At 44.0% G+C, this 27,101-nt stretch overlaps 1 protein-coding gene across 3 annotated transcripts, besides 6 other annotated features; it reads right to left on the bottom strand.

The window, feature by feature from the left end:
• Nucleotides 1-26,893, bottom strand: SPG21 (SPG21 abhydrolase domain containing, maspardin). 3 transcript variants are annotated; one of them, NM_016630.7, is made up of 9 exons: nucleotides 26,644-26,893; nucleotides 20,486-20,572; nucleotides 17,843-18,004; nucleotides 13,454-13,534; nucleotides 11,581-11,726; nucleotides 7,093-7,201; nucleotides 6,234-6,341; nucleotides 2,299-2,439; nucleotides 1-715 (listed from the first exon to the last, which is right to left on the bottom strand). In NM_016630.7, exons 2-9 carry the CDS (start codon nucleotides 20,546-20,548, stop codon nucleotides 599-601), a joined length of 927 nt encoding a protein of 308 aa, NP_057714.1. In that variant the 5' UTR covers nucleotides 20,549-20,572; nucleotides 26,644-26,893; the 3' UTR covers nucleotides 1-598. The 3 variants fall into 3 exon arrangements, with proteins under 3 accessions (NP_057714.1, NP_001121361.1, NP_001121362.1); NM_001127889.5 differs by lacking the exon at nucleotides 26,644-26,893 and adding an exon at nucleotides 26,385-26,449; NM_001127890.5 differs by lacking the exon at nucleotides 13,454-13,534.
• Nucleotides 26,100-26,601: an enhancer, noted in NCBI's record as "H3K27ac hESC enhancer chr15:65281459-65281960 (GRCh37/hg19 assembly coordinates)". NCBI's record gives its function as "activates a minimal SCP1, AML or CMV promoter by ChIP-STARR-seq in naive H9 embryonic stem cells {active_cell/tissue: H9 hESC(naive)}" and the evidence as "EXISTENCE:reporter gene assay evidence [ECO:0000049][PMID:30033119]".
• Nucleotides 26,100-27,101: a biological region, named in NCBI's record as "H3K27ac hESC enhancers GRCh37_chr15:65281459-65281960 and GRCh37_chr15:65281961-65282460".
• Nucleotides 26,330-26,624: a silencer, noted in NCBI's record as "tiled region #9874; K562 Repressive non-DNase unmatched - State 1:Tss". NCBI's record gives its function as "represses a minimal TATA promoter and a strong SV40 promoter by Sharpr-MPRA in K562 cells {active_cell/tissue: K562}" and the evidence as "EXISTENCE:reporter gene assay evidence [ECO:0000049][PMID:27701403]".
• Nucleotides 26,427-26,476: a silencer, noted in NCBI's record as "silent region_6547". NCBI's record gives its function as "represses an Ori minimal core promoter by ATAC-STARR-seq in GM12878 lymphoblastoid cells {active_cell/tissue: GM12878}" and the evidence as "EXISTENCE:reporter gene assay evidence [ECO:0000049][PMID:35858748]".
• Nucleotides 26,597-27,086: a silencer, noted in NCBI's record as "silent region_6548". NCBI's record gives its function as "represses an Ori minimal core promoter by ATAC-STARR-seq in GM12878 lymphoblastoid cells {active_cell/tissue: GM12878}" and the evidence as "EXISTENCE:reporter gene assay evidence [ECO:0000049][PMID:35858748]".
• Nucleotides 26,602-27,101: an enhancer, noted in NCBI's record as "H3K27ac hESC enhancer chr15:65281961-65282460 (GRCh37/hg19 assembly coordinates)". NCBI's record gives its function as "activates a minimal SCP1, AML or CMV promoter by ChIP-STARR-seq in naive H9 embryonic stem cells {active_cell/tissue: H9 hESC(naive)}" and the evidence as "EXISTENCE:reporter gene assay evidence [ECO:0000049][PMID:30033119]".

Genomic DNA, 27,101 nt, shown 5'->3' on the forward strand with positions numbered 1-27,101 from the left:
TCAGTTAAATTGAATTTTTATTCCAAATGACTAATATCTAGAAAGGCAGTAGCTAACACTCAAAACAATTTGTTTAAGTGTAAATTAAAAGCAGTTGATTTGCAGGAGAGCAAACAGTGGGGTAGTGGCCATGGCACTCTGATCATGGTTATATCCAAGAAAGCATAAAATAACCAATGTCCTGATATGCAATCTGGATGTGCAGCATTTACAGCAAACAACATAAAAAGAAAGAAAGAAGAATGGAAAAGAAAAGAAGAAAAAAACCACCACAAAGTCCCAAACCTCAGAAATTAACATTCACTTAAGAACACAGTGGTGAAGACTTTTGGTAGCAAAATTTGCACGGTTCTTAAAATGGGAGTCTTCAAAAGTACTTCTTCAAATTCAAAAGCTAAGAAAACCAAAGAGGGAACAGTTACACAGGCTTAGTGGAGATGCCGCCTGTCATGAAGATGACCATCAGTCCTACTTCCCAGACACAGTGAGAACCGGTGAGCCTGACGAACCTGAAGGAAAAGGCTGGCTGACGGGTGCTGATGCCACTGACTATACAAGAACACACCGGGTCAACTCATCATTGACAGCGAGAGACACACTACTGCTCCTCCTGGCTGATGCCAAGGCTGCCTTTCTGCACCTCAAGCTCCTCGGCACTGACCATTGATGGGTCAATGGCCGCGTATTTGGTTCCATGGAATTGCAGCAAATGTATCTGTTGAAATGCAGAATCATTATTTTATTTATTTTTTGAGCTGGAGTGTCACTCTTGTTGCCCAGGCTGGAGTGCAGTGGCACTATCTTGGTTCACTCCAACCTCCGCCTCCCGGGTTCACCCAATTCTCCTGCCTCAGCCTCCCGAGTAGCTGGGATTACAGGTGCCCGCCACCATGCCCAGCTAATTTTTGTATTTTTAGTAGAGACAGGGTTTCACCATGTTGGCCAGGCTGGTTTTGAACTCCTGGCCTCAAGTGATCCATCTGCCTCGGCCTCCCAAAGTGCCAGATTACAGGTGTGAGCCACTGCACCCTGCCAGAATCATTGTTTTAAATGGCTGCATTACAGAGTAAAATGTATACTGCCTTCTATAAAAAGTTTGGTAGGAAAACATCACCATAGTGGACAAATGTTTTATACTTCTAAAATTTACAGACTAAGACATACTAAATAGAGAAAAGTCAAACAATTTTTTGAAACCACATTTGGGATCTTTGTTCCTCACTCCCTGAGCAGTCTCCCTGAGTCCCTGCAGAGTCTCCTGAGACATCTTAGATGGTGCATGCTCATGAGATGTTTACCCTTCCCTTCTGCTGCTGTGAGTTAGGTCCTTCCAATCTTCTGCTACTGTGACTAGTGCTGCTATGATGAATATCTCTGGGCATCAAGTATTCCTGTTTAGGATCCTGTCTTCTATAAGGGGATGACAGGATCAAGGGATATGACTGGTTTTTGGGATTACAGGTGTGAGCCACCATGCGTGGCCAGGATATAACTGGTTTTTTAAGGCTCTTGATTCATCTTGCCAAACTGCCAGGGCACTCACCCCTCACTGCTATTCTATTATCCATTTAGTTAGAGTATGAAGGGATGGTGTTTGTTAGGGCTTTCTTTTCTTTTCTTTTTTTTTGAGACGGAGTCTTGTTCTGTTGCCCAGGCTGGAGTGCAATGGCGTGACCTCGGCTCACTGCAACCTCTGCCTCCAGGATTCAAGTGATTCTTCTGCCTCAGCCTCCCGAGTAGCTGGGACTACAGGTGTGCACCACCACGTCCAGCTAATTTTTTTTGTATTTTTAGTAGAGACGGTTTCACCATATTGGCCAGGCTGGTCTTGACCTCCTGACCTTGTGATCTGCCTGCCTCAGCCTCGCAAAGTGCTGAGATTACAGGCATGAGCCACTACGCCTGGTAGGGTTTTCTTTTAATGCATTAAAATTAGATCAAGAAGTCACTTCACAGGACTCAGATTGACCCCATTTAGGTCTGGTGTCTTGCTCTGATGGAATTCACTGTGTCCAGAGGGCAAGGTCACATCATACCAATAGTAACCTCAGTGTGTGAATGCAGGCCTGCTGTCCTTAGAAAAGGGATGGTGGCCAGAGAGTCACTGGGGGATCTCTAATATACCTGTTCAAATTCTCCTACAAGTTATAAATGTAAACCACTTTTATCAAGTCAATGCCTCATTTCTACAAGGAATTCTGTAGTTCACTGATTCCCTAACTAGTCCATTAAAAGAAGTCTTTATGTTGCAAACATATGTTGGGCTCAGAGTGCTCTGGGTTTCAAGCTAGGCCTTACCTGTACATAAAGATTGACCTCTGCACTTCTGCACAGGTATGGGAAATTGCCTCCTGTTTTCAGATGAGCTCTTCGGGCATTAGGATACAGCTTGTACATTTCTTCTTTAGCTTCAGTTGAAAGCGCACTCTGATCAAACACCTTTAAAAAACACAAAGCTTCAGCACCATAGGAAAGGTAAAACACACACACACATACAGAAAGCTGTAATCAACTAGTGTTTTAATATGTTCTTTTCACATTATGGAAATGTTACCCTAAGTATTCCTTTCATATGAAGACAATCCTGAACCCCCAGCAGCCTGAACTACCTCCACTGCTGATCCCTGGTGACTTATAACTCCAACCGAAGACATTAGCTACAGATTTTGCTGCACAGCATCTCCTGCATTCTTTTGGTGGGGGGAAATTCTTTTTTTTTTTTTGAGGTAGAGTGCAGTGGTGTGATCTCGGCTCACTGCAATCTCCACCTCCTGGGCTCAAGTGATTCTCCTGCCTCAGCCTCCTAAGTACCTGGGACTACAGGCATGCGCCATCACGCCTGGCTAATTTTTGCATTTTTAGTAGAGATGGGGTTTCACCATGTTGGCCAGGCTGGTCTCAAACTCCTGACCTCAGGTGATCTGCCCACCTCGGCCTCCCAAAGTGCTGGGATTACAGGCGTGAGCCACCAAGCCCGGCTGGGGTCGGGGGAAATTCTACCATGAATTTCCTTTTTCCTCAAATATAGCTAAGTAGATTAACAGAATATTAATAGAGAACAATCATTGCAAATGTCAATAAGTTTCAAAAAGATCACGAAGCCCCAAAAGAACTTTTTACTTTTATCATTAATTTAAAGCAATAAACTAAGTCATTTAGGCTCAGTGAAAAAAATTCCAAAAAAATGTAGAGTACAAGCTATTCTTTCTTGGGGAAACCAGTTTGCAGCATATGATTCTAGACATCCTTCAATACCCATACACATTTACGTTTTTACATGCAACAAAATTTTTCAAAAAGTAAAATAAGCAAAAAAAATTGTATACTAAATATACCATACCAAATCTGTATGTTTAAGTGCATCTCCAACTAAAACTTACAGGCTGTTTTCAGTGACCATGAACCCAGGCAGTGAGCACAGCTTTGAAAGAAGGGCAGGCAGAGCAAATGTCCTGTGAGGACCATTGAAAAGCTTGTTCTATGTTATGGCAAATGTCAGAATGCAGCGATTATGGCAGAGGATGATAAGAAGTTGTTTACACGCTTATAATGAATAATTTCCCAACAAAAACCAATTATTAAAAATACCATATTATGGCCAGGTGCGGTGGCTCACACCTGTAATCCCAGCACTTTGGGAGGCTGAGGCGGGCAGATCATGAGGTCAGGAGATCGAGACCATCCTGGCTAACATGGTGAAACCCTGCCTCTACTAAAAATACAAAAAATTAGCTGGGCGTGGTGGTGGGTGCCTGTAGTCCCAGCTACTTGGGAGGCTGAGGCAGGAGAATGGCGTCAACCCAGGAGGCGGAGCTTGCAGTGAGCCAAGATCGCGCCACTGCACTCCAGCCTAGGCAACTGAGTGAGACTTTGTCTCAAAAAAACAAAAACAAAAACAAAAACAAAAAACCATATTATTTGAATTTAGGAACAAATCCATTTATAAGGCAAAATAATCATATGATTTTTTTTTAAGTAAATTGAAACCATAGTGAGATACCAATTCATATCCATTAGGATAAGTATCAACCAAAAAACCAGAAATAAGGGTCCAGGATATAGAGAAACTGGAATCTTTGTGCATTGTTGGTGGGAACATGAAATGGTATAGCCACTGTGGAAGACAGTATGGTGGTACTTCAAAAAGTGTGATTCTACTTCAAACGATATGTCCAAAAGAATTAAAAGTAGGATACATCTACTATGTACCCATAAAAATAAAAAACAAAAAATTATTTTTAAAAAATAATTTAAAAATAAATAAAAAAAAATTAAAAGCAGGAACTCAAACAAATATACATATATTTTTTGACAGGTTCTCACTCTGTTGCCCAGGCTGGAACGCAGTGGCATGATCATGGCTCACCCCAGGCTCAGGTGATCCTCCCACCTCAACCTCCCAAGTAGCTGGGATCACAGGGATGTGGCACCATGTCCAGCTAATTTTCCTTTTTTTTTTTTTCTTTTTTTTGAGACGAAGTCTCACTCTATTGGCAGGCTGGAATGCAGTGGTGCGATCTCAGCTCACTGCAACCTCCACCGCCCAGATTCAAGCAATTCTCCTGCCTCAGCCTCCCGAATAGCTGGGACTACAGGTGTGTGCCACCATGCCCGGCTAATTTTTGTATTTTCAGTAGAGACGGGTTTCACCACGTTGGCCAGGATGGTCTCGATCTCTTGACCTCATGATCCACCCGCCTTGGCCTCCCAAAGTTCTGGGATTACAGGGGTGAGCCACCGCGCCCGGCCTAATTTTCTTTATTAGTAGTAGAGACAGGGTCTCCTGTATTGCCCAGACTGGTCTCGAATTCCTGGGCTCAAGCAATCCTCTTGAGTCAGCCTCCCAAAGTGCTGGGATTGCAGGAATGAGCCACTGTGCCCTGCCCAAACATATACTTTTACACCAATGTTCATAGAAGCACTATTCACAATTGCCAAAAGCTGAACACAACCCAAGTGACCACTGACGGATGAATGGATAAACAAAATGTGGTATAAACCAACATTGGTTTTATTGGTAGATATTATTCAGCTTTAAAAAGAAATAGGCTGGGCGTGGTGGCTCATGCCTGTCATAGCACTTTGGGAGGCCCAGGCAGGCAGACAGCTTGAGTCCCAGAGTTTGAGTCCAGCATGGGCAACATGGTGAAACCCCATCTCTACAAAAAATTAGCCGAACGTAGTGGTGTGAGCCTGTGGTCCAAGCTACTAAGGAGGCTGAGGAGGGAGGATTGTTTGGGCCCGGGAGGCAGAGGTTGCAGTGAGCTGAGATTGCACCACTGCACTCCAGCCTGGGGAACAGAGTGAGACCCTGTTTCCAAAAAAAAAAAAAAAAAAAGAAAGAAATGACATTCTGACACATGTATAACATTTCAAGATAAGTCTTGTGAAACATTATGCTAAGTGAAATGGCCACACAAAAGGATAAATGTTGTATGATTCTACTTATATGAGGTTCTAGAATAGGTAAATTTTTATAGACAGAAAATAAAACCGTTGATTATCAGAGGCCGGGGGAAGAAAGGGAACAGGAGTTATTGTTTAATGGGTATGCAATTTCTTCTTGGAATGATGAAAATGTTGTGAAAATGGTGATGGTTGCCGAACTGTGAATATACTTAATGCCACTGAACTATGCACTTAAAAATGGTTAAAATGGCATATTTTAAATGTACATTTTACCACAATAAAAAAATAAGCAAGCTTTTGTGGTAATTAAACTATGGAATTCTTGATTCTCTACCCTTGTTACCCTTGTGAAGCACCTTCTCTTTGCTGCCCATATATGTGCAATATATGGTGCAATATCTATTGATGAGAACAGCAAAAATACATCAAATGGGTAGACTCCCTTGTTTAAATTTATTTTGATTCATTTTTATTTTTATTTTTTTTTAATAAATACAGACAGGGTCTCACTATGTTGCCCAGGCTGGTCCTGAACTCTTGGACTCAAGCAATCCTCCTGCCTCAGCCTCCCAAAGCGCTGGGATTACAGGCATAAGCCACTGTGCTCGGCCTATTTTGATTTCAATGGTGTTATTCCTGCCAGAAAGAAATCCAAGATAAGCAATAAACAGATTATTTTGGAATTGAGAAAGCTGGAGGGTAAAAACAAAAGCCAAGGCAGCATTTGAAGAGGTACATTGAAAGTTATCAAATAGTTTTATAGGAGATCTTGACATACACATTTTAAAAAGTAAAGCAGCTATTTTACTTAAAAGGAAGCTTACATCCATAATAGTTACAGGTATGTCCCGAATTTTATGAGGTTCCACATAAGAATTTTGACAATTCAAGGTAAGTCTTGAAGCCAGTTCACTCTGACCCAAACTTTCTAGCTGCAGGAAGAAACACAGGTAAAGTTTTTGAAATAATTTTGTTTTTCACATTTACATTAAATCCACAGACAACATTTGTGCTTATAAAGGTGGTATCATCTGTGGTGGGGCCAGAAAAGTCATCAGTGAGGAACCACAACTTAGGTGAGAGACCATGAACTGGGCTTCTCAGGAGGTTGTGGCATTTTTCTATTCTGGAAACCTGGGTACAAACCAATGAAACCCGGCCTTCTACAGCCCTCAGCCTACACTGCCTACTCCAGCCAGGTGCCCATGGGCAGCAAGCCAATTCCTACTGCTCAAAGGTGACAGATATATGTTTTTGTTTTTTTTTTTTTTTTAAGATAAACCTTTAAGGGATCTTAAAAGAGATTTGAGAAATCATCTAGCCCAGCAGTTCCTAAATGCAAGCCAACAGACCTGGTTCATCAGATTTACCTGGTGGGTAGAGGAAAAGTGTGAAGTAAAAATAGATTCCCAGATCCCATGCCCAGGGATTCCAGATGGATGATCTGCTGTGAGGCCTTACAATCTGTATTTTTGAAAGCTCCCCTAAGTGATTTTGATGAATAGCTGGTGGGAAGCACTGATGTAGGCAAGCCCTTACCAGCAATAATATCTGCTCAGATGTATTACTCTGCTTAGCAAATACCTCTTACACATACTTGTGAGACAGATCTATCTTCTGGAACCAAGTAGATGTGAAAATTCCCAATACAATGTGTCCCCAACCCAATGTCATGATCCTTACCCTGTCTACCATGAAATCAATGGCATCAGCCATCATAGGGTCCACCGGGCCAGATGAAAAATTTCCAAGAACTATTTTTTTGAGCATAAATGCAGGCATCAGCCAAAAGCTGTAAAACACAAAGACCTTATAATTTAAACTTCCAAGACTACACATGGCAAATATTCATTCAACATTAAAGCTTTGTATTAGCTTGGGATCTAGAAATAAAAAGTCCTAATCCCCTCCTCCAAAGAGCTCAGCATCTAGTTTTTACACACACTTTCCCAAGCTTCCAAAGAGTTATGGCTTCATATAATTAAACTTTTATTTGAGGATTTAGGATAATTATAAGAGATATTTCAAAATACCTTTACTGAGATAGACATTCTGATGAGTCCAAGATTGTTTTTTTTCTCTAATTGGCCCTATTTCCAAGGATTAAACTATTTCTTTTGGAAAACTGAATATTAAGAGAAGTATTCTTTCCTTCTGGTTGATATTATGTTTTTATCGATTGATATTTCAAAACAGATTTCAAAATACCAATATGAAAGCTATTGCACCTCCCCAAATTTGCTACTATTAGATTCAACTTGGCTAATTCAAGGCAAATTGATATTTATAGATTTATTTTTTAAATTTATTATTGTTATTATTTTTTGAGACAGAGTCTCAGTCAGTTACCCATGCTGGAAGTACAGTGGCATGATCTCGGCTGGGTGCAACCTCTGCCTCCCGGGCTCAAGCAATTCTCATGCCTCAGCCTTTCGAGTAGCTGCGACTACAGGCACATGCCACCACGCCCGGCTAACTTCTGTATTTTTAGTAAAGATGAGCTTTTGCAATGTTGGCCAGACTGGTGGTGAACTCCTGGCCTCAAGTGATCCACCCACCTCAGCCTCCCACAGTGCTGGGATCACAGGCGTGAGCCACTCCTGGCCTCTTTTTATTTTTTAATTAAAAAATTTAAAAAAAAACTTTTAGAGACAGGGTCTCACTCTGTTGCCCAGGCTGAAGTGCAGTATTGTGATCATAGCTCACTGTAGCCTCAAACTCCTATCAAGTGATCCTTCTACCTTGGCCTCCCGAGTAGCTGGGACTACGGGCTCGTACCACCAGGCCTGACTAATTTTTTAAAAATTTACTGAGCTGGGGGAGCCGGGGCCAGGCACGGTGGCTCATGCCTGTAATCCCAGCACTTTGGGAGGCCAAGGTGGGCAGATCACGAGGTCAGGAGATTGAGACCATCCTGGCTAACACGGTGAAACCCCGTCTCCACTAAAAATACTAAAAATTAGCCGGGCTTGGTGGCGGGCGCCTGTAGTCCCAGCTACTCGGGAGGCTGAGGCAGGAGAATGGCGTGAACCCAGGAGATGGAGCTTGCAGTGAGCCAAGATCGTGCCATGGCACTCCAGCCTGGGCGACAGAGCCAGACTCCGTCTCCAAAAAAAAAAATTTACTGAGCCAGGCGCAATGGCTCATGCCTGTAATCCAGAACTTTGGGAGGCCAAGGTGGGTGATCACAAGGTCAGGAGTTCAAGACCAGCCTGGCCAAGATGGTGAAACCCCGTCTCTACTAAAAATACAAAAATTAGCCAGGGGCGGTGGCCAGCGCCTGTAATCCCAGCTACTTGGGAGGCTGAGGCAGGAGAATCACTTGAACCTGGGGGGCAGAGGCTGCAGTGAGAACGTGCCACTGCACTCCAGCCTGGGCAACAGAGCGAGACTCCCATCTCAAAAAAGAAAATTTTTTTTCTGTAGAGACAGGATCTTGCTCTGTTGCCCAGGCTGGTCTAGAACTCCTGGACTCAAGCAATGCTCTTACCTCTGCCTCCCAAAGTGCTGGGATTACAGGTGTGAGCCACTGTGACTGGTCAGATCTTTACGGATTTCTATATATGATCTTTAGTTTATATTTATTCCATTAATTTCAACTGTTAAGAGCCATCATGGAGGGCAAACACTAATTTCTGTAAACCTATGACGAAAATTACTTAGATGAGGTGCAAACTACCTTCTGATGCTTATTACCACTGGGACAGCCTTGCTGGAAGTTGAGCTTCCCTCAAAAGGACCACTAGGTCACCTTCCAGTTAACTTTCTAAGTTCTCTCCCAGCCCCATCACTTTCTTATCTTTTGAAGGTGATGAGGTCTAAGTACGCTCTGTAAGGGGTGGACCCTGTTGACTTTGCTCACTCCTGGATCCTCAGTGTGTGGCACACAGTAAGCACTCAGATATTTGACAATAAGCAGCTGATGTGCCAGAGCACAAACTGAATGGGGGCTGTCTTGGCATTCTAACAATTAGAACAGCAATAAAAATCACCAAAAATAATGAGCATTATTTAGTGCATTATCTGGACGGGAAGGATTTGTAAAGTAGCTAATGTATACAAGAAATTGTTGCATGAATGCTGAGTAATTACTAAGATAACATCAGAAAAACTAAAAAATAGCTGGGCACAGTGGCTCATGCCTGTAATCCCAGCACTTTGGGAGGCTGAGGCGGGCGGATCACGAGGTCAGGAGATCGAGACCATACTGGTGAACACGGTGAAACCCCGTCTCTACTAAAAACATAAAAAATTAGCCAGGCATGGTGGCGGGCGCCTGTAGTCCCAGCTATTCGGGAGGCTGAGGCAGGAGAATGGCGTGAACCTGGGAGGCAGAGCTTGCAGTGAGCTGAGATCGTGCCACTGCACTCCAGCCTGGGCGACAGAGCGAGACTCCATCTCAAAAACAAACAAACAAAAAAACAAACAACAACAAAAAAAACTAAAAAATATCAGAGTGCAATTTTAAGTAGATGTGAAAACGATATTTCCCTATACATTATTTGAAAACACTGATCATACAGATGTGTTTACTCACTGGGCTTTTTTTTTGAAGTAGGGTCTTGCTCTGTCACCCAGCCTGGAGTACAGAGGCACAGTTGTGGCTCACTGCAGCCTTGAACTCTTGGGCTCAAGCGATCCTCCTGCCTCAGCCTCCTGAGTAGCTAGGACTGCAGGTGCATACCATGATACCTGGCTAATTTATTATTATTGTTATTTGTAGAGATGGGGTCTCACTATGTTGCTCAGGCTGGTTTCAAACTCTTGGCCTGAAGTGATCCTCCTGTCTTGGCCTCCCAAAGTGTTGGGAGTACGGCATGAGCCATCACACCTGGCCACTGGGCTTTATTTTAAGGCTAGAGCCTCGCCTTGCCAGCAATGAAAGAAGTGCACAGTAAGCCAGCTGTATGGCATCATAGATACCTACCAATTACTTAAAATGATAAAATCAATGAAAGGATGGCTCCTAGGAAACAAGTACCCCACTGGCTGCACCCAAAGCATTTCCACCATTTTGTTTTTGGTTTGTTTTTTTTTTGAGATGGAGTTTCGCTCCTGTTGCCTAGGCTGGAGTGCAATGGCGTGATCTCGGCTCACCACAACCTCCGCATCCTGGGTTCAAGTGATTCTCCTGCCTCAGCCTCCTGAGTAGCTGGGATTATAGGCATGTGCCACCTTGCCCAGCTAATTTTGTATTTTTAGTAGACAGGGTTTCTCCACGTTGGTCAGGCTGGTCTCGAACTCCCGACCTCAGGTGATCCGGCCGCCTCGGCCTCCCAAAGTGCTGGGATTACAGGTGTGAGCCACCGCACCCAGCCTCATTTCCACCATTTCTATCTTTTGGAAGAACAGACTAATATCAAGGGTCATGATGTGCAGAACATCTGTTGACAGACCAAATGCTCTATTCTTTCCATTTGGAGAACATATCTCAAGGAAATAAATTGGAAAGGGAAAAAACCCAGTAATTTGTACAAAGATTTACTGTAGAATGTGATGAAGAATTGGGAAAAGCCAAATGCCTAATAAAACTATGTCAGTCAATACACGGAACTGTTTACACATAATAATAAGTGGGATAAACAGAACATGGTATTAGTTACATAGAAATACTGAATAAAAACAGCAAAAGTATATTAATGAATATTAAACAAAATTTAAAAATTTAAGGTAATAAAAAAAGCTGAATTTAGAGTTCATTCAATTCTTTCCTTTTGCAAAGGTAATTGTTTCTAATTTTAAAAGCCAAGAAAGAGCCGGGCACAGTGGCTCATGCCTGTAATCCCAGAACTTTGGGAGGCCAAGGTGGGCAGATGGCTTGAGCCCGGGAGTTAGAGACCAGCATGGGACAACATGGCAAAACCTCATCTGTACAAAAATATACAGAAATTAACCAGGTGTGGTGCCATGCATGCCTGCCTGTAGTTCCAGCTACTTGGGAGGCTGAGGTAGGAGGATCGCTTGAGCCTGGGAAATAAAGGCTGCAGTAAGCTGTGATTGCACCACTGCACTTCAGCCTGGGTGACAGAGCAAGACTCTGTCTCAAAAAAAAAGCCAAGGAAGTTGCAGAATATAGAAGTAGATATAAGTCTTCCCTTCCTAATGTACCAAACACTCAAAAGCCAACATTTTCAAAATTTCACTGAACAAAAAAAGTAATTTTGTTCTTACCTGTTTGCAGTCCAAGTTTGGTTGAAGATAGAGGTGTCACTGAAGGAATTGCAGAGGATTAGGGAATGGACTCTAGGAGATTTGTGAGTGTATTCAGCAAATTTCTGGGCCAAAAAGCCTCCCAAAGAAGCGCCAAAAAGATGAACCTAATTATAAACAAATATAAGGCAGATTCTGAAATACTGATCAATCTTGAACCTGAGTATTAAAAAGTTGCTTCAATTATCACTAACCACAGAATATGTTATCACTAGCCAATAGACTAAAATATTTACAGCAGCTAGAAATTTAGAAAATATTGTATTTAAATGCAATTTATACAGTCCATCAAGATAATACAACTTGGCATCCAAGTTATATAATTAAAAAAAATATCATTCACAGATTGCATTAGAAAACAAAACCAGTCCAGGCACGGTGGCTCACACCTGTAATCCCAGCACTTTGGGAGGCCGAGGCAGGCAGATCACGAGGTCAGGAGTTCGAGACCAGCCTAGCCAGCATGGTGAAACCGTCTCTACTAAAAATACAAAAAAACTAGCCAGGCATGGTGGTGCGTGCCTGTAGTCCCAGCTACTCGGGAGGCTGAGGCAGCAGAATCGCTTGAACCTGGCAGGCGGAGGTTGCAGTGAGCCAAGATCGCACCACTGCACTCCAGCCTGGGCAACAGAGCGAGACTCCGTCTTAAAAAAAAAAAAAAAAAGAAAAGAAAAAAAGAAACCAACAAAACCAAGCTAGGGAAATATGGAAAAGGCCTGTATACTAAAAATACAAAAATTAGCCAGGCATGGTGGTACGTGCCTAGAGTCCTAGCTACTTGGGAGGTTGAGGTGGGAGGATCGCTTGAGCCCAAAAGGTTGAGGCTGCAGTGAGCCATGATTGCACCACCGCACTCCAGCCTGGGCAACAAAGTGAAAGCCTGTCTCAAAAAAAAAAAAAAAGAAAAAACTCAAAACCACTTAGTGGTTTATGTCTAAGAAAACTGTGATTCAGTAATTCCACCCCTAAACACATACCTAAGAGAACTGAAAACATATGTCAACACAAAAACTTGTACATGAATGTTCATGGCAGCATTATTCATGATATCCAAAGGGTAAAAACAACCCAAATGTGCATCAGCTGATGAATCGTTAAACAAGATATGGCATATTTATAAAAATATGATTTAACTGTAAAGAGAAACGAAGTATTGATTCCGGCTTCAACATGAATGAACCTTAAACTCACAATGCTAAATAAAAAAAGCCAGTCAAAAAGACCACATATGATACGATTCCACTTATGTAAAATATCTAGAATAGGCAAATCCATAGAGATAAAAATAAATTAGGTTGCAGGGCTAGTAGGGGGGAAGATGAGGACCGACTGCTAATGAATATGAGGTTTTTGGCATTAAAAAAATTATAAAACATTGACTGCAGTGATGGTTGCACATACCTGGGAGTATACTGAAAAACATGGAACTGTATACTTAAAAGGGTAAATTATATGGTATATGAATTATGTTGCAATAAAGCTATTATTAAAAAATAAAAGAGGGCTCGGCACGGTGGCTCACGCCTGTAATCCCAGCACTTAGGGAGGCTGAGGCGGGCGGATCACTTGAGGTCAGGAGTTTGAGAGCAGCCTGGCCAACCTGGCGAAACCCCATCTTTACTAAAAATACAAAAACTAGCCGGGCATGGTGGCACACGCCTGTAATCCCAGCTATTTTGGAGACTGAGGCAGGAGAATCACTTGAATCCGGGAGGTGGAGGTTGCGGTGAGCCGAGATCGCGCCACTGCACTCCAGCCTGGGTGACAGAGTGAGACTTCATCTCAAAAAATAAAAAAAAAATTGTATGTATGTAATTAGTTTCAGGGTACTCACTTTATCCAATTGTAAATGGTCTAAAAGTTTTCTGAATCCATCACAGAACTCGAGATGGTCCCAATAAACTGGATACTGCAACTGAAATAATAACGATAATTTTATTTTTAAAAATCATAAAAGTAAAAATGCAACTCACGTATTTGAAAAACTTAGGACTCAAACACTGACATTTCTCGTTTGCTCAAGCGCTGCTCCTTATTCAAAATATGTAAAAATAAGCTCTCACTTTTTACTAAACTTCATATTTCACATTTTTCTAACAGACCAAATTAAAAGAGTATAAAAAGTAAGCACACTCTAATGATATTACGTGAGTAACAATTTCAATTCCCATCAATTTCCTTTCTAAATAGCTGAAAAAGTCTGGGGTTCAAGGATGAATACAGCAGAACCCATTCCAGTAAAGAAATACCGTTTTCTCTTAAATCTAATTTCATTCAGAATTATGGCTCAGGAGAGATGGAAACAAAATTTGTTCTAAGGAGAGCTTCCTCTCTTTTTGGTAGCATTTCTTTAAGAGGGTATTCAGTAAAATTGTTCCTCTTCTTTTAAATGACTTAGTTACTCTATTTCATTTATTGTACTTTGGGGTGTCTGTTTGTTTCTTGAGACAGAGTCTCCTCTGTTGCCCAGGCTGGAGTGCAGCGGCGCGATCTCGACTCATGCCACCTCCGCCTCCCGGGTTTGAACGATTCTCCTACCTCAGCCTCCTGAGTAGCTGAGATTACAGATGTCCACCACCACACCCAGCTGATTTTTGTATTTTTAGTACAGACACAGTTTTGCCATGTTGGCCAGGCTAGTCTCGAACTCCTGACCTCAAGTGATCTAACTGCCTTGGCCTCCCAAAGTGTTGGAATTTTAGGCGTGAGTCACTCCACCCAGCTTGTTTGTTTTTGTGATAGGGTCTCACTCTCTCTCACCCAGGCTGGAGTGCATTGGCACGATTGTAGCTCACTGCAGCCACAACCTCTTGGGTGCAAGCGATTCTCCCACCTCAGCCCCCCGGTAGCTGGAATCACAGGCATGCACCACCATGCCTGGCTAATTTTTATATGTATACTTTTTTGTAGAAATGGGGTTTTGCCACGTTGCCCAGGCTGGTCTTGAACTCCTGGGCTCAAGCGATTTGCCTGCCTCAAGCAATATAACTGCCTTAACTTCCCAAAGTGCTGGGATTACGGGTGTGAGCCACCATGCCAGGCTACTGTACTTCTGTTTGTGACAAAAGAAGTATGGTACTTGACTATACGTAGCCTATCTATTAATGCTGGCAATGATGAGGAAAAAGAAGTACAAGTCACAAACTCATTTCTAAGGGACTCAGGTTTGTCCCCTAAGAATTCCTTTTTTTTGTTTGTTTGAACTGGGGTCTCGCTCTGTCGCCCAGGCTGGAGTGCAGTGGCGCGATCTCGGCTCACTGCAACCTCCACCTCCCAGGTTCAAGCGATTCTCCTGCCTCAGTCTCCTGAGTAGCTGGGACTACAGGCATGTGCCACCACACCCGACTAATTTTTTGTTGTTGTTGTATTTTTAGTAGAGACGGGGTTTCACCATGTTAGCCAGGATGGTCTCGATCTCCTGATCTTGTGATCCGCCTGCCTCGGCCTCCCAAAGTGCTGGGATTACAGGCGTGAGCCACCGCGCCTGGCCAAGAATTCCTTTTTTATATACATATAAAACCAACTGGCTGGGCGTGGTGGCTCACGCTTGCAATCCCAGCGCTTTGGGAGGCCGAGGCGGGTGAATCACTTGAGGTCAGGAGTTCGAGACCAGCCTGGACAACATGGTGAAACCCCATCTCTACTAAAAAATACAAAAATTAGCCAGGCATGGTGACAGGCACCTGTAATCCCAGCTACTGGGGAAGCTGAGGCATGAGAATTGCTTGAGCCTGAGAGGTGGAGGTTGCATGAGCCGAGATCATACTACTGCACTCTAGCCTGAGTGACAGAGTGAGACTCCATCTCCAAAAAACAAAAACAAAAACAAAAAAACTCCCCCAAAAACCTCGTCTAACAGGCTTACTGTTTAAGCACTTAGGTTCATTTTGTTATTGATGAATCACTGGAATGGATACTGCCATATGAATTATGGAATCATTTTAGATTTGATGTATGACTTTCATTATTAAAATTCTATTTGTGGATAAGACTTCCACCATTCCAAGAAAGAATGGGGAACTGATTCTACCTAGCAGAAAGTTTGAGAATTTGAGTCAGATGATAGCCTAAAAGAAAGGGGATGATACTTTCATGGAGTCTTTAATTTATAAATATCCATGCCCACACAGGTGACAAAATTATATGCAACTTAATACATACAAACAAATGAGTTCAAGCAGAACTGGGGAAGCCTGAATGAGATTGGTAGATTGTAGTAATATCAATATCCTGGTTGTGATTTTGTACTACAGTTTTGCAAAGGTTCGGCAGAAACTGGGGAAATGTGTAAAAGGTATATTTCTCTTTACTATTTTTTACACTGCATGTGAATCTACAATTACAACAACAAAAAAATTTAAATTAAAAAGATCTGTGCATTTTAACTGCTAGATACTAACAAATATTAAATAAGTTCCAAAACCTCATGGAGCTGAACATTCTGATCACATCTTGATGACAAAATAATTTTGAAGACACTGTTGACCTTTTCTTGATTAACTCTCCTCCTAATGAAACAGGGAAAGCGCACAACAAGAACCTTGAGAGTGAAGAAGAAACATCCAGCCAGAAGCCAAGGCTCTCATGACCTGCCACTGTGGAGCGAGAAACACACTGCTGGACAGCACTCCCGAGTGGGACGGGCGCCTATGGGTTGCTCGGTTTCCCCCTCCCTGGCTGATCAACAGGGGCCACCAAAAATGGTAGTGTCATGTCTCAGGCTGCAGAGGGCTGGGATGAGGGCAGTTCCCACCCTGTTCTAGAATGCTGTTTGTGAAGAGGAATGACTGAAAATCTGAACAAAGGAGGATTATGTTGCAGAGGCTCAAACATGTCACGTGAGGAATGGTTAAAGAAGCTGGAGAAATTAAGCCAGAGAAGAAAAGACCCAGGAGAAAAGCAGCAGGTAGTGATGATAACTGTTTTCTCAAGTAAGAGACGGGCTCTCAGGAGGAAGAGGAACTGATTTCCTTTGTGTGGCCTCAGTTGGTGGTAACCTCAGTAGAATTTTCAGTTACCTTCCAAAAGGAGAGACGTGACCTGCCTTTTCATCCCTTTAAACAGTAAATAAAACGTACACTAACAGCAGTACTCCCACTGGGAGTACCACTTACAAGTGAATACTGCAGGCGACTGCCAGCTAAAGAGACTCTCTCCTTCCTGGAAAATTAGGAGACCAATGTCCTGACCAATGTGGAAGCATGCAAAAAAAAAAAAAAAAAAAAAAATCAGTCACCAGGAAGAGTGCCTTTCCCACACACCTTTCTCCCAGAGAAGACTCAAGAATGATCAGTGGGAAACTGGATTTAGACCAAACTCAGCTATAAAGTAACAATCAGGAACAAAAAAACTTCCTAACCAAATGCTAACATATGAGCTAATTAATGAATCTCACCTCAAATATCAAAGATTTACATGAAAAGCCAGCTTTTCAAGTCACTTGTATGTTAGCAAATCCCTTTGTTGTCTAATATTCCATGCTCAGCAACCCTGGAAGCAGTGCTGTGATAAAATGAGGAGCAGAAACAGAGCCAGGAGACGGAGCTCAGTTCCTCCCTCCACCACTACTGGCTGTGTGAGCCGGACCTCAGTTTCTTCATCTGTAAAGAAGGACAACGCTTCCTACCGCTCTGAGTTGAGAGAAGGGCGTCAGGAGAGAATGCACGTAAATGCTGGGCATGGAGAGGCTGCCAAAAGAGGTTTGTTCCCTCTGAATCTCTGTGTGACCGTGGACTCACACCAGCCTCCTTCAAAAGGCTTCATCTCACATATTAAAATAAGCAAACAGTATCTTTCCTCAATTAAAAAAACTGCCTGGCTGGGCGCAGTGGCTCGTGGCTGTAATCTCAGCACTTTGCGAGGCTGAGGTGGATGAATCATGAGGTCAGGAGTTCGAGACCAGCCTGGCCAACACGGCGAAACCCCGTCTCTACTAAAAATACAAAAAATTAGCTGGGCGTAGTGGCGGGCGCCTGTAATCCCAGCTACTCGGGAGGCTGAGGCAGGAGAATCGCTTGAACCCGGGAGACGGAGGTTGCAGTGAGCAGAGATCACGCCACTGCACTCCAGCCCGGGCGACAGAGTGAGAATCCATCTCAACAAACAAACAAACAAACAAACAAACAAACAAACTGTGCCCATTACTATAGCTGATGAGAGACAGAAGCATAAAAAAAAAAAAACACACAAAACGTGGGTCTGAATTTTAATCAGTAATACTTACAGCGATAACCCGGTAACCCCATCCAGTCAGAGCCAAAATCTGCCGGAAAAAGACATCTGCAGTTCCACTGACAGGGGGCAGGAATATGAGAGGACACCTGATACTTCGGGGGCCCGCGTCATAGAGCGACCATATCTTACTGTCATCATCATCCACAATAATCTGGAGGGAAGGTTAAAAGAAAAAAGTGGAAAACCTTATAAATTTGCTTTTTATGTTATTTTACACTGTCATTTCACTGACAATTTTACTACTACTGCCTTGTTTGTTACAAGGTAACCTGGAGCTCACACCAGATTAGCATGCATGACAAACTCCTCTGATCTCCTTTTCTTTCCTCAGGGCTAACGTATTCCACAGAACTACTTAGAACTACTTTATAATCTTCCAAAGGGCTGCTGCTTCTCTGTTTCTTCCCCCTCCTCCTTTTTTTTTTTTTTTTTTGAGACAGAGTCTCGCTCTGTAGCCCAGGCTGGAGTGCAGTGGCACGATCTTGGCTCACTACAACCTCTGCCTCCCAGGTTCAAGCGATTCTCCTGCCTCAGCCTCCCAAGTAGCTGGGATTATAGGCACACACCCTCATGCCCAGCTAATTTTTTGTATTTTTAGTAGAGACGGGGTTTCACCATATTGGTCAGGCTGGTCTCGAACTCCTGAGCTCATGATCCACCCGCCTTGGCCTCCCAAAGTGCTGGGATTACAGGCGTGAGCCACTGCGCCCGGCCTGGATCCTGTCTCTTTAAAATACATAAATAAATAAATAAAAATACAACAACACTCCAGCCTGAGCAACAGAGGGAGAGATCCTGTCTCTTAAAAAAAAAAAAGGCAAGCTGAGGTAAGACAAGTGCTCAGCAGAGTCTGGCAGATGTTAAGTGTCCTAGAAATATTAGCTATTATTATTATTCACGGCATCCTAGTTTAATTTTTGCTTTCACTTTTGGTGGTATTTAGAAAAGTACATTAACTGCTTAAACATTTGACAATGCAAATCAGTATTTATTCTACTTTCATATTAAAAAACTCAAGGCCTCCAGGCTCTTTTTTCTGAGAGCTCCTCACTAGCAGGGCTATGGACTCCACAGTGTCACTCTGTGGGTGGCAGCACACTAACCAGGGTCACTGGCATCACTAGGAGCAGATAAATGGAGCAAGGCAAAGTCCAGAGAGGCCTAACAGTTCCCTTTGGACTTCCACAGGTCACAGATGGTGATAATGTATCTCACGCTCATGTTTTTGTCCTGTGTATCTTGCCACTCACATTTTTTCTTTTCTTTTCTTTTTTTTTTTTTTTTTTTTGAGACAAGGTCTGGCTCTGTCACCCAGGCTGGAGTGCAGTGGCACGATCACAGCTTACTGCAAGCTTGTCTTCCTGGGCTTAAGCAATCCTCCCATCTCAGCCTCCTGAGTGTCCGGGACTACAGGCGTGCACCAACACGCCCAGTTAATTTTTTCTAGTTTTTGTAGAGAAAGGGTCTCATCATATTGCCCAGGCTGATCTCAAATTCCTAGGCTCAAGCAATCTTCCTGCCTCGGCCTTCCAAAGTGCTGGGATTACAGGTGCACAGCACCATGCCTGGCTAATTTTTTCATTTTTTTATAGAGACAGAGTTTCGCTATGTTGCCCAGGCTGGTCTCAAACTCCTGGCCTCAAATGATCCTCCTAGGTCTCTAAAGTGCTAGGATTACAGGCATGAGCCATCACAAACAGCTGCAAAAGATCTTAAGATCACTGGATTCTAACACTCCTGCAAGGGAATCAGCAAAGGTTTTACTCTACTCAGTGACTTGAACTGCCTTTGTCTAGTGTGATCCCCAAACATCTGGGATTAATTTGGGAAGCAGAGTCAATACTCAACTGCAATATAAGTGTTTTGGGTTTTCAAACATCCCAGGAAAATAAAGCTTCTAGAAGATGACTGTGGCAGAATGAGTATGTCATTGCAAACAGAAGCTCTATAATGTGACCCCATTCTTAAATCTGAGGAACAGGAATATAATCTGACTGTACTCACTATACAGTTGCTGTAAACTTTCCACTAAACTATACAGAAGAGTACATACATACCTGCTTGCTTGTATATGTAAAAGCAATTATAAAAAATGAGTACAGGCTGGGTGCGGTGGCTCACGCCTGTAATCCCAGCACTTTGGGAGGCCAAGGTGGGCGGATCACTTGTGGTCAGGAGTTCGAGACCAGCCTGGCCAACATGGTGAAACTCTGCCTCTACTAAAAATACAAAAATTAGCTGAGTGTGGTAGCGCATGCCTGTAATCCTAGCTACTTGGCAGGTTGAGGCAGGAGAATCTCTTGAACCTGGGAAGCAGAGGTTGCAGTGAGCCGAGATCATGCAGTGCACTGCACTCCAGCCTGGACGGCAGAGCGAGACTCCATCTCAAAAATAAATATAAATAAATAAATAAATAAAAATGAGTACAGTTACACTTGCTTTCACTCTAAAATGAGTCTCAAAAGTTGACTGTACATGACAGGGAAGGAGTGAACTTAATCCTCTGCAACCCACAGTCATGATACTCGGCAGTAACCTTTACTCTCAAACACTACTAAGACATGACATCTAAATCACACACAAAAACAATACAAGATTTTGCAAATAAGAGGTATAGTAAAACCATACATACCTTTTTAAGGGGAACTGTACCTCTAAACCAGTTATAATCAGGAGAGACTTTAATCTCTCCCATGATTAGCTGAAATGGAGGTTAATCCTGAAATAAAAGCATGTGATATTTCACGTCAAGAATTCATGTTTACATCAGAACTAAATGTAGAGTCTCATCTAGCTATACCAACAATATTTTAAAGAAGAAAGCCAAGGAAACTGGCTATTTTGTCAGTATATAGTCCAACTACAGAAAACAATTTGGTGAAATACTACAATCACAGAATCAGAAGCACTCTTTTTTTTTTTTTTTTGAGACAGTCTCAGTCTTGTTGCCCAGGCTGGAGTGCAGTGGCGTGATCTCAGCTCACTGCATCCTCTACCTCCTGCAGTTCAAGTGATTCTCCTGCCTCAGCCTCCCGAGTATCTGGGATTACAGGTGCCCGCCACCACGCCCAACTAATTTTTGTATTTTTAGTAGGGATGGGGGTTCACCATGTTGGCCAGGCTGGTCTCGAACTCCTGACCTCAGGTGATCCACCCACCTCAGCCTCCTAAAGTGTTGGGATTACAGGCGTGAGCCACCATGCCCGGCCACCAGAAGAGCTCTTACAGAAATTATTCCAACACCCTTAGTTCTTCCAGAAAAGGAATCTGGTCTAGAAAATTTAAATGACTTACCCAAGATCACATGGCAATGCTAGGACCAGATGTGAGACAGCCTTTTCTGACACCATACTTCCTGTCTTAGTTCTCAACTGCAGTACCATCAGTTATCTTTTGACATTACCTTAAGAATCCCTTTAATAAAGATGCTCCTGTCTGATTATAGGGATAGTCCACGCTAGAGAAAGGAGTTGATGTTTTTTTACTTTTTTAATTTTTGAGACAGTCTTGCTCTGTTGTCCAGGCTGCAGTTCAATGGCACAATCACAGCTCACCACAGCCTTAACCTCTGAGGCTCAAGTGATTATCCCAACCTCAGCCTCCTAAGTAGCTGAGACAATGGGCACACACCACCACGTCAGGTGAATTTTTTGGTTTTGTAGAGATGGGGGCCTCCCTGTGTTGCCTGCACTGGTCTCGAATTCCTAGGCTCAAGCAATCCTCCCATCTTGCCTCCCAAAGTGCTGGGATTACGGGTATGAGCTACCACACCCAGCCTAGAGAAAGAAGTTTAAGTTAAGCCTGCTTCCTGATAAATTCGCAATACACCATAAATCTAACTGTAATAGCACATAACCAGAAATTCACATGTAGTTCCCTTTTTTTTTTTTTTTGAGACAGAGTCTCACTCTGTCACCCAGGCTGGAGTGCAGTGGCGTGATCTCAGCTCACTGCAACCTCCACCCTCCAAGTTCAAGCGATTCTCCTGCCTCAGCCTCCTGAGTAGCTGGGATTACAGGCACCTGCCACTGCGCCCGGCTAATTTTTTGTATTTTTAGTAGAGACGGGGTTTCACCATCTTGGCCAGGCTGGCCTTGAGCTCCTGACCTCATGATCCACCCGCCTCAGCCTCCCAAAGTGCTGGGATTACAGGCATGAGCCACCGTGCCCCGCCTACATGTAGTTCTTAATACAAAATACAGGCAAATTTGCCACTCATATGGACGTGATTAAAAGTTACACAATGTCCTCAGAAAGATCTATAATGTAAACTTGAAGGCACTATAACTAACAACAAAATGAAACATTTGCCCTTAGGAAAAAATGTGTAGTCTTTTGTTGTGAGCTTAGTGACTTCTGGTTTTCATAGCTCTGTGATCTTAGATAAGTCTTGATCCTTTTGGAGTTTGTTTCCTCATCTATGACTGTGTTACCACTGTGTCCCCAAAGCTTAGATCAGTGCTTGGCACACAGCAGGCATTATCTGTTGATTGAACGAATAACTACATTCTAAGGAGAATGAAGGGGGCCATCCTTCTAACCCTGGCATCTGTGAGCTTTGGCCTAGCTGAACATCCTCAACTAAAAGGCTGCCCCTCTTTGCTCAGGCATCTGTGCTATGTCATAACAGGAAACTGAAATTATAGTTCCCTGTTGCAGATTCTTATTGCCAAGTGAGGAAATTCCACCAGGAAGGATTCAAATATTTGCTTTGTACCACTTCCTCTACCTCAAGAGCAAGCCTTGATCCTAGCACGGCTAACACGAGGTGAGATTCGTGAGACCTAACTCCCGGGCTGACTCTGAACTGTCGTTTTAGAGGGAGTTCTCTGGACTGGCAAGGAACAGGGGATTCTAAACTCAATGGAACTCTTCCTTGGTGGCCCTCGAGATCTGCTCCCTCAGGAACACAGAGCCCTCAGTAGACTCAACTGTGACCTTGGAGACGTACTAAGCTGAACCCCGAGGAGACAGCAGATGTAGACATTCTAACACTAAACTTGATTTACAACCTTGACATTGTGATAATGGTCTCTCTTCTCAAAGCTAAGATGGTAATTTTAGAGAAGTGTGTTAAAATCATAAGTTGCTTTAAAGTACCAAGAAAATCATCAGCCAGTCTTATACTGAAAATTAGTGTGCACAGATATATATAGTGAAATAAAGAAAATTCTTTGCATATCCATTTTATCTTAAATATTAATATGTTAAGGCCAGGCACAGTGGCTCACGCCTGTAATCCCAGCATTTTGGGAGGCTGAGGCAGGTGGATCACGAGGTCAGGAGTTCAAGACCAGCCTAGCCAAGGTAGTGAAACCCTGTCTCTACTAAAAATACAAAAATTAGCCTGGCGTGGTGGCGCACGCCCGTAGTCCCAGCTACTCAGGAGGGTGAGGCAGGAGAATCACTTGAACCCGGGAGGCAGAGGTTGCGGTGAGCCAAGATTGTGCCACTGCACTCCAGCCTGGGCGACAGAGTGAGACTCAATCTCAAAAAAACAAACAAAAAAATTAATATGTTAAAAAATTTTGCCAGGCGCGGCGGCTCACACCTGTAATCCCAGCAGTTTGGGAGGCTGAGGCAGGTGGATCACCTGAGGTGAGGAGTTCAAGACCAGCCTGACCAACATGGCGAAACCCCATCTCTACTAAAAATACAAAAAAAATTAGCCAGGCATGGCAGTGGCCGCCTGTAATCCCAAATACTCGGGAGGCGAGGCAGGAGAATCGCTTGAACCCAGGAGGCGGAGGTTGCAGTGAGCCAAGACTGCACTCCAGCCTGGGTGACAGAGTGAGAGTCTGTCTCAAAAACAAAACAAAACAAAACAAAACAAAACAAAAAACAAAAAAACAAAAAACAAAAAAAAACTAAGCCATTTTAACTATAGGCTTTCTCTAAGCTGATTATAACTTTTAATTGAAAGCAACTAGCACATATACTTAATTCTGGAATATTTTCTACCTGGACAGACTTGAAATACTTCTATATCATCTAAATACTTCTTAATGGAGACATTTCCTAGTATTGCATTATTAGAAACAATCTATTCTAAAGGAGGGAAAATAAAAACATGTTTAGCAAATAACATCTACTCAATAGATTTATAAAACACCTTAGCTAACTAAAGCCAGAAAGTGTGCTTCTAGAGTCACCAAATGGGATAAATCATTCATAGCTTTGAAATCAGTTGCAATGCACAAACCAAACCACCATACAAATACACACATACACAGGCACACATATTCACGCGGTCATCCTCTTCTTTCCCATAGCAGTAAATAGAAAGATGTTCCTTACCAACAGTCTTCAGAATAATTCACAACCACCTCAGGATGCCAACGTGTTAAAAGTAATCTTACAAGATGGAGAGATTCCACTCCGCTGTGACTAAATTTTTGTAGAGACAAGTAATTTTAACACTTGTGCTAGTTTGGCAGTACATGAAAGGTAAAATGGATACCAAATGTTGCATCTGACCAACTGACGTCTAAGTGAAAAAAAGATCACTGCTGCAAAGGGAAAACAGCTGTGAGTGGTATGAATAGGAAAGTTTGTTCTCCTAGCTCTCTTTCATCCACCAAAGGGGTATACTTTTCCAAATCATAAGAGGAATATTCTGTATATGGCAAAGGTTAACTGAGATTGTGACCAAACTGGTCAGTACTGAATAAGAAAGAATGTGGACCATGAGCTCAAAACTGATTTTATCTCTCATGATTTTGTTCTTCACAAAAACAAAAGCACCTGTTCATGCTGGTGGGAAAAGAGCCACAATATTAGCCTTAATCTTGCCTAAGGAAAGCCCTCTTCAGGGTGTGCTGTGGACTCCCTGTCTTCTCTGGCCCTTGTGCTGCTGGACAATAAAAACTGCCAGTTGTGGCTGGGTGCAGTGGCTCACGCCTATAATCCCAGCACTTTGGGAGGCTGAGGCAGGTGGATCACCTGAGGTCAGGAGTTCGAGACCAGCCTGGCCAACATGGTGCAGCCCCGTCTCTACTAAAAATACAAAATTAGCTAGGCGTGGTGGCACATGCCTGTAATCCCAGCTACGCAGGAAGCTGAGGCAGAAGAATCACTTGAACCCGGGAGGCAGAGGTTGCGGTGAGCCGAGATCACGCCATTGCACTCCAGCCTGGGCAACGAGAGCGAAACTCCATCTCAAAAAAACAAACAAAACAGCAACAACAACAAAAACAAATTAGCTGGGCGCGGTGATGGGCTCCTGTAATCCCAGCTACTTAGGAGGCTGAGGCAGGAGAATTGCTTGAACCTGGGTGGCGGAGGTTGCAGTGAGCTGAGATCACACCACTGCACTCCAGCCTGGGCGACAGAGTGAGACTCTGTCTCAAAAAACAAACAAACAAACAAACAAAAAAACCTGCCAGTTGTGACTATGCCCCTATCCCTCATGGCTTCAACAGAACCTGCCACTTTAAAGTCAACAAAATCACCTTTATCAATGTTTAAGTCACATAACCAGCATAATTAGTCAGAGGTTTCTGCTACTTTATTTCAATCTATAGTTGATGTGCATTGTGGAAAATCTGTGCTTATAAATACTAGCCATAACAAAATATTAGAAGCTGAGAGTCTCTGGGAGATGCAACTGGCTTTTTAATGCACGTCTCCATCCCTCACCACAGAAGTACACAGCTATCCTTTTCTTAGATCTCTTCAGGGGAGATCTATCCCTCTTTTCTTCATTGCATTATCTCTAAACCTTACAGGAGGAAAAGGTGCCTACCTGACATCTGTGACATCTCTTCTCATGCTCTTGGGAAAAAAGCTTTTGGAATTTGGACACAGCTATTAAGTTACTCCTCAGTGGCCAGCCGCGATGGCTCACGCCTGTAATCTCAGCCCTTTGGGAGGCCGAGGCGGGCGGATCACGAGGTCAGGAGATCGAGGCCATCCTGGCTAACACGGTGAAACCCCGTCTCTACTAAAAATACAAAAAATTAGCCGGGCGTGGTGGCGGGAGCCTGTAGTGCCAGCTACTCGGGAGGCTGAGGCAGGAGAATGGCGTAAACCCAGCAGACAGAGCTTGCAGTGAGCTGGGATGGCGCCACTGCACTCCAGCCTGGGCGACGGAGCGAGACTCCGTCTCAAAAAAAAAAAAAAAAAAAAAGTTACTCCTTAATTTGTTGAATCTTTGTGCCAAAAGGAGCTGAACCAGTGTAGGTGGAGACAAAGGAAGCAGCATAAATGTCTAACTTATAACTCCCCAGGAAAACGAGAAGAGGAAAAATGAGACACTCCGGTCCCGCTCTGTTCCTCATCCCCCGTTTACAAACCTTACACCTGGCCCACACTCAGTAACAACAAAGACATCTATCACTTTCAGGCCGAGGTCCTGTCTCCAAAATTACTGGCCTCTGCTCACAGTTCTTAAAAGTTTGCTGAGAAAAAAAAAAAGAAAGAAAGAAAGAAAGAAATGTTCCTGGGCTGCAGTCGTGTAGCCCCAGGATGGGTTTACAGGAGGATGCCCCGGTTAAGCCCTGTGCCGCCCCCACCTCCCGCTGGAGACTCACACACAGCTCCCCGCCAGTCCCACCGGTGACAGCCACACAAAGGCAGGGTCACAAGCACACCGACCACCCCACAGCCCAGATTCGGCCCCAGACACACACTCACAAGGGCACGTGATCACGTGCGTGGTCACATGGACCGGCCCACTCAGAACACACTCACAAAGTCACACCAACCAAGGCAGCCACGCGCCACACACACACACCTACAACCCCGCATACCGCACACCCAGCCGCTTCCCAGGGCTTCGCCCACCCTCACCTGCCGTGGCCGCCCCCACGTCCCTTCCCCTCCTTCAGGAGGCCGCTCTTCGCTCCAGTACGAGCGCGGGCCGTGGAGGCGGCTGGGCCCGGGTCGGGGCGGGCGGCGGAGCACTCGGGACCCACGGGCACAGCAGGCTGCGCGGTGCGTGCGGGAGGCCGGCCTCTGAGGGGGCGGGGCGCGTGGCCGAGCGAGCTTGGGCCGCCGCGCTCCCCCCGCCCGACCGCCGCTCAGCTGGCGCGAGACTCCCGCTTCCGGGTTCTCAGAGGGCGGGGCCACGTCGCGAGGAAGGGGCGGTGCTGCGTGGCCCCGGCGGTCGCCACGGCGACGGGCGCGGGGGGAGGCTCCGTGGGATGCTTGGCTGCGGCTGGCGTGAGGAGAGGGCTGAGTTACGTCTGGGTCAGCCTTAGTTCTGCCCTACGTACCTAGGAGGAGGAGGAGGTGGAGGAGGCGCCTGG

Source organism: Homo sapiens, chromosome 15, assembly GCF_000001405.40.
Source record: "Homo sapiens chromosome 15, GRCh38.p14 Primary Assembly".
In the NCBI taxonomy this organism is placed as follows: Eukaryota; Metazoa; Chordata; class Mammalia; order Primates; family Hominidae; genus Homo; species Homo sapiens.

What these genes read in the sequence shown, in the direction of transcription:
- SPG21 (NM_016630.7), bottom strand. Translation starts at nt 20,548, where the DNA reads ATGGGAGAGATTAAAGTCTCTCCTGATTATAACTGGTTTAGAGGTACA. An exon ending in TACCTGTAACTATTATGGAT is followed by an intron (nt 2,440 to 6,233) that starts GTAAGCTTCCTT and finishes TGTTTTTTAAAG; the next exon opens with GTGTTTGATCAGAGTGCGCT. An exon ending in AGGTCAATCTTTATGTACAG is followed by an intron (nt 716 to 2,298) that starts GTAAGGCCTAGC and finishes GCATTTCAACAG; the next exon opens with ATACATTTGCTGCAATTCCA.